This window comes from Homo sapiens, chromosome X (genome assembly GCF_000001405.40).
Source record: "Homo sapiens chromosome X, GRCh38.p14 Primary Assembly".
Taxonomy (NCBI): domain Eukaryota; kingdom Metazoa; phylum Chordata; class Mammalia; order Primates; family Hominidae; genus Homo; species Homo sapiens.
The window spans coordinates 110,597,545-110,604,903 of record NC_000023.11 but is presented as its reverse complement, the minus strand read 5'-3'; the positions used below and the strand labels follow the sequence as shown (position 1 = coordinate 110,604,903).

Genomic DNA, 7,359 nt, shown 5'->3' with positions numbered 1-7,359 from the left:
TTTTTTTTTTTTTTTTTTTGAATCTTTGTTGGTTTAAAACCTGTTTGGTCAGAGACTAGGATTGCGACCTCTGCTTTTTTTTTTTTTTTTTTTTTTTTTTTTTTTTTGCTTTCCATTTGCTTGGTAAACTTTTCTCCATCCCTTCATTTTGAGCCTATGTGTGTCTTTGCACATGAGATGGGACTCCTGAATACAGAACACTGATGGGTCTTCACTCTTTATCCAATTTGCCTGTCCATGTCTTTTAGTTGGGACATGTAGTCATTTACATTTAAGGTTAATATTGCTATGTGTAAATTTGATCTTGTCATCATGATGCTAGCTGGTTATTTTGTAGACTAGTTGATGCAGTTTCTTCATAGTGTCATTGGTCTTCATATTTTCATGTGTTTCTGCAGGGGTTGGTACCGGTTTTTCTGTTCCGTATTTAGTGATTCCTTCAGGAGCTCTTGCAAGGGAAGCCTGGTGGTGACATAATCCCTCAGCATTTGCTTGTCTGTAAAGGATTTTATTTCTCCTTCATTTATGAAGCTTAGTTTGGCTGGTTATGAAATTCTGGATTGAAAATTATTTTCTTTAAACCTAGGCAATACCATTCAGGACATAGGCATGGGCAAGGACTTCATGTCTAAAACACCAGAAGCAATGGCAACAAAAGCCAAAATTGACACATGGGATCTAATTAAACTAAAGCGCTTCTGCACAGCAAAAGAAACTACCATCAGGGTGAACAGGCAACCTACAGAATGGGAGAAAATTTTTGCAATCTACTCATCTGACAAAGGGCTAATATCCAGAATCTACAATGAACTATACTGTTGGTGGGACTGTAAACTAGTTCAACCATTGTGGAAGTCAGTGTGGCGATTCCTCAGGGATCTAGAACTAGAAATACCATTTGACCCAGCCATCCCATTACTGGGTATATACCCAAAGGACTATAAATCATGCTGCTATAAATACACATGCACACGTATGTTTATTGCGGCTCTATTCACAATAGCAAAGACTTGGAACCAACCCAAATGTCCAACAATGATAGACTGGATTAAGAAAATGTGGCACATATACACCATGGAATACTATGCAGCCATAAAAAATGATGAGTTCATGTCCTTTGTAGGGACATGGATGAAATCGGAAATCATCATTCTCAGTAAAGTATCACAAGAACAAAAAACCAAACACTGCATGTTCTCACTCATAGATGGGAATTGAACAATGAGAACACATGGACACAAGAAAGGGAACATCACACTCTGGGGACTGTGGTGGGGTCGGGGGAGGGGGGAGGGATAGCATTAGGAGATATACCTAATGCTAAATGATGAGTTAATGGGTGCAGCGCACCAGCATGGCACAAGTATACATATGTAACTAACCTGCACATTGTGCACATGTACCCTAAAACTTAAAGTATAATAATAATAAAAGAAAAAGAAAAGAAAAAAACAAACAACCCCATCAAAAAGTGGGTGAAAGATATGAACAGACACTTCTCAAAAGAAGACATTTATGCAGCCAAAAGACACATGAGAAAATGCTCATCATCACTGGCTATCAGAGAAATGCAAATCAAAACCACAATGAGATACCATCTCACACCAGTTAGAATGGCGATCATTAAAATGTCAGGAAACAACAGGTGCTAGAGAGGATGTGGAGAAATAGGAACACTTTTACACTGTTGGTGGGACTGTAAACTAGTTCAACCATTGTGGAAGTCAGTGTGGCGATTCCTCAGGGATCTAGAAGTAGAAATGCCATTTGACCCAGCCATCCCATTACTGGGTATATACCCAAAGGATTATAAAACATGCTGCTATAAAGACACATGTACACGTATGTTTATTGCAGCACTATTCACAGTAGCAAAGACTGGGAACCAACCCAAATGTCCAACAATGATAGAATGGATTAAGAAAAGGTGGCACATATGCACCATGGAATACTATGCAGCCATAAAAAATGATGAGTTCATGTCCTTTGTGGGGACATGGATGAAGCTGGAAACCATCATTCTCAGCAAACTATCGCAAGGACAAAAAACCAAACACCGCATGTTCTCACTCATAGGTGGGAATTGAACAATGAGAGCACATGGACACAGGAAGGGGAACATCACACACCGGGGCCTGTTGTGGGGTGGGGGGAGGGGGGAGGGATAGCATTAGGAGATATATCTAATGTTAAATGACGAGTTAATGGGTGCAGCACACCAACATGTCACATGTATACATATGTAACAAACCTGCACGTTGTGCACATGTACCCTAAAACTTAAAGTATAATAATAATAAAAAAAAGAAAATTCTTTTCTTTAGGGTGGCCTCTTCTGGCTTGTATGGTTTCTGCTGAGATTTCCACTGTTAGTCTGATGGGCTTCCCTTTGTAAGTGATCTGGCCTTTTCTCTGGCTGCCCTTAACATTTTTTCTTTCATTTTGACCTTGGAGAATCTGATGATTATGTGTCTTTGGGTTGAACTTCTCATGGAGTATGTTAGTTGTGTTCTCTGTATTTCCTGAATTTGCTTGTTGGCCTGTCTTTCTAAGTTGGGAAAGTTCTCCTGGATAATACCATGAAGTGTGTTTTCCAACTTGTTTTCATTCTTCCCATCTCCTTCAGGTACCCTAATCAATGTTACATTTTGTCTTTTTATGAAGTATCATATTTCTTGAGGCTTTGTTCATTCCTATTCATTCTTTTTTTCTCTAATCTTGTCTGCATGCCTCATTTCAGCAAGGTGGTTTTCAACCTCTGATATCCTTTCTTCCACTCGGTCAATTCAGATATTTATACTTGTGTATGCTTCATGAAGTTCTCGTGCTGTTTTTCAGCTCCATCAGGTCATTTATGTTTTTCTCTGAACTGGTTATTCTAGTTAGCAACCCCTGTAACCTTTTATCAAAGTTCTTAGCTTCTTTGCATTGGGTTAGAACATGCTCCTTTAGCTCAACATAGTTTTTTAGTACCCATCTTCTGAAGCCTACTTCTGTCACTTCATCCATCTCATCCTCTGTCCAGTTCTGTGTCCTTGCTGGAAAGGCACTGTGATCATTTGGAGAAGGGGCACTCTAGTCTTTTGGGTTTTCAGCGTTTTTTCGTTTATTCTTTCTCATCTTCGTGAGTTTGTCTAGTTTCGATCTTTGAAGCTGCTGACAATTGGATGGAGTTTTTGTGGGGGCTTTGTTGTTGTTGATGCTGTTGTTGTTGCTTCCTGGTTTGTTGGTTTTTTTTCCAATGGTCTGCTCCCTCTTCTGTAGGGCTCCTGTTGTTTTCCGGGGGTTCATTCAGGCCCTATTAATCTGGTTCACTCACGCACCTGGAGATGTCACTTGAGGAGGCTGGAGAACAGCAAAAATGGGTGCCTACTCCTCTGACCTCAAGGGGCACCAATCTGATGCCAGTAGGATCACTCCTGTATATGGTGTCTGACATCCCCTATTGGAGTGTCTCACCCAGTTTGGTGGCACAGGGAACAGGACCCATTTAGTGAAGCACTTTGTCACTTGGTGGAGGTGGTGTGCTTCACTGGGGGAAAACCCACTCATCTGGTTGCTCAGATTCCTCAGAACTACCAGGAGGAAAGGATAAGTCTGCTGGTCCACAGAGACTGTGGGCACCCCTCCCCCTATGAGCTCAGGTTCAGGGAAATCCGTGTTCTGTCCCTGAGCATCTGGCTGGAGTTACTGGAGTTCCTGCAAGGAAGCCCCACCCAATGAGGAAGGATGAGTCAGGGTTAGGCCTGAAGGGGCACTCTGGCCACAGTCTGCCACAGCTGGTGCGTTGGGCTGTGGGTGACACATCTTCGGACCAAGACATCCAGCCTCCCTGTCTCCAGCAAGGGAAAAACGCAGCCTGGAGCTATAGAGATGGATGCTTCCCTTCCCCTGCCCAGGGAGCTTAGCTTGTTAGACAGTTGTGAGTCCCAGCGCTGGCTGCTGCCCTTCCCCCAAGGAACTCAAATGGCTTAGACAGCAGGCTGCCACAGCTGTGGTGCTGGTCACCCCTTCCCCCAGTATGTCAGTAGGCTTAAGCAGATTCTAGCTGAGAGGCATTTGAAAATCTGCACAGCTCCAGGATTGGGACACTAGGCCCTGATGGCGTGGGTGCATGAGTGGGATCTTCGGTTCCGTGGGTTGCACAGTTCTGTGGAAAAACTGGGTAGCATGCTCACTCACTGCCTCCCTTGGTTGGGGGGAGGGGGCTCCCCTGTCCCATGTGGCTCTCAGGTGGGCCACCACACCACACTGTTCTTCCTTCCTCTCCATGGATCACGCCAGCCTCCTAGTCAGTTCTGATGAGAGAACCTGGATACCTTAGTTTCCGGTGAAGGATTCACATGCTTATTACGATTCTTTTCAATGGGAGCCTCTGAATGCCGCTGTTTTTAGTAGGCCATCTTGGCCCTGCCCCACTGTATTCTACCAAATATTTAAAGAAGAACTAATACCAATCCTACTCAAACTATTCTGAAAAATAGGGGAGGAGGGAATACTTCCAAAGTTATTCTATGAGGCCTGATACCAAAACCAAACAAAGACACATCAACAAAAGAAAACTATAGGCCAATATCACTGATGAATATTGATGCAAACATCCTCAACAAAACTTTAGAAAACAAAATTCAACAACATAGTAAAAAAATTATTCATCATGATGATGTAGGATTTATCCCAGGGATGCAAGTATGGTTGAATCTTTGCAATTCAATTAATGTAATACATCATATCAAAAAAATAAAGGAGAAAAATCATATAACATTTGCAGTTGATGCTGAAAAATCATTTGTTAAAATTCAACATCTCTTCATGTTAAATCCTTGAAAAACCTAGGTATAGAAGAAACATACCTCACTATAATAAATGTCGTATATGACAGACCCACAGCTCATATCATACTGAATAGGGAAAAACTGAAAGCCTTTTCACTAAGATCTGGAACCTGACAAGGATGCCCACTGCCACTCATGTTATTCATCATAGTAGTGCACGTCCTAGCTAGAGCAATCAGACAAGAGAAAGAAGTAAAGGGCATCAAAATTGGAAAAATAAAAGTCAAATTATCCTTGTTTGCAGATGATATTATCTTATGTTTGGAAAAATCTGAAGACTCCACTGAAAAAAACTATTATAACTGATAAACAAACTAAATAAAGTTGCAGGATACAAAAATCAACATACAAAAATTAATAGTATGTCTATATGCCATCAGCAAACAATATAAAAAAAGTAATCCCATTTACAATAGCTACAAATAAAATAAAATACCTAGGAATTATTTTAACTAAAGAAGTGAAAGAGGCTGGGTGCAGTGGCTCATGCCTGTAATCCCAGCACTTTGGGAGGCCGAGGCAGGCGGATCACAAGGTCAGGAGATCACAACCATCCTAGCTAAAATGGTGAAACCCCGTCTCTACTAAAAATACAAAAAAAAAAAAATTAGCTGGGCGTGGTGGTGGGCGCCTGTAGTCCCAGCTACTTGGGAGGCTGAGGCAGGAGAATGGCGTGAACCTGGGAGGCAGAGCTTGCAGTGAGCCGAGATCGCGCCACTGCACTCCAGCCCAGGCAACAGAGCAAGACTCCATCTCAAAAAATAATAAATAAAAATAAAAATAAAGAAGTGAAAGATCTCTAAAATGAAACCTATAAAATATTGACACAAGAAATCAAAGAGGACACACACAAAAGGAAAAGAAAATTCCATGTTCATGGATTAGAAGAATTAATATTATTGAAATGTTTATACTACCAAAGCAAAGCAGAGACTTAATGCAATCCTTATCAAAATACCAATGACATTCTTCCCAGAAATAGAAAAACACTCCTAAAATCTATAGGAAACCACAAAAGACCCAGAATTGCAAAAGCTATTCTAATCAAACAGAACCAAACTGGAGGAATCACATTACCTGACTTTAAATTATACTACAGAGCTGTAATAACCAAAACAACATGGTTTTGACACCAACACACACACATAGATAGTGGAACAGAATGGAGAACCCAGAAATGAATTCATACATCTACAGCAAACTCACTTTTAACAAAGATGCCAAGAACATACATTGGGGAAATCATAGTCTCTTTAATAAATGGTGCTGGAAAAACTGGCTATCCATATGCAGAGGAATGAAACTAGACACATATTTCTTACCATATACAAAAATCAAATCAAAATGGATTAAAGACTTAAATCTAAGACCTCAAACTATGAAACTACAATAAGAAAACATTGGGAAACTCCCAAGGACATTGGATTGGGCAAACATTTCTTGAGTAGGCTGGGCACAGTGGCGCATGTCAGTAATCCTAGGACTTTGGGAGGCCGAGGTGGATTGATCCTTTGAATCCAGAAGTACAAGACAAGCCCAGGCAACATGGTGAAGCCCTGTCTCCACAAAAAACACAAAAAGTAGCCAGGCATGGTGGCACATGCCTGTAGTCCCAGCTACTTGGGGGTCTGAGGCATGAGGATCATTTGAGCCCAGGAGGTAGAGGTTGCAGTGAGTGGAGATTACACCACTGCACCATTGCACTCCAGCCTGGGTGACAGAGTAAGACCCTGTCTCAAAAAAAACAAAAACAAAAACAAAAACAACAACAACAAAAAGACCTTTTGAGTAATACTCCACAAGTGCTGGCAACCAAAGCAAAAATGGACAAATGGGATCACATCAAGTAAAAAAGCTTCTGCAGAGCAAAAGAGACAATTAACAAAGTGAAGAGACAATCCACAGAATGGGAGGATACATTTGCAAACTACCTGTCTGACAAGTGTTTAATAACCAGAATATAAAAAGAGCTCAAACAACTCTATAGGAAAAATTCTAATGATCTGATTAAAAACGGACAGAAAATCTTACTAGATATTTCTCTAAAGAAGTCATACAAATGGCAAACAGATATGAAAATGTACTCAACATCATTGATCATCAGAGAAATGAAAATCAAAATTGCAATGAGATATTATCTCACCTCAGTTAAAATGGCTTTTATTCAAAAGTTGGGCAATAACAAATGCCTGGGGAGGTTGTGGAGAAAAGGGAGTCCTCATTCACTGTTGGTGGAAATGTAAGTTAATACAACCACTATGGATTACAGTTTGGAGGTTCCTGAAAAAACTATAAATATAGCTAGCATATAATCCAGTAATCCCACTCCTAGGTATATATGTAAAAGTAAGGAAATCAGTATGTTGAAGAGATATCTGCACTCCCATGTTTATTTTGGCACTATTTATAGTAGCCATTATTTGGAAGCAATCTAAGAGTTCATCAACAGATGAATGAATACAGAAAATGTGGTACATATACACAGTGGAATATTGTTTAGGCATAAAAAAGAATGAGATCCTCT

The 7,359-nt window shown here is 40.5% G+C and overlaps 1 annotated feature.

Moving 5' to 3' along the window:
• Nucleotides 3,427–3,927: an enhancer, noted in NCBI's record as "H3K4me1 hESC enhancer chrX:109844205-109844705 (GRCh37/hg19 assembly coordinates)". NCBI's record gives its function as "activates a minimal SCP1, AML or CMV promoter by ChIP-STARR-seq in primed H9 embryonic stem cells {active_cell/tissue: H9 hESC(primed)}" and the evidence as "EXISTENCE:reporter gene assay evidence [ECO:0000049][PMID:30033119]".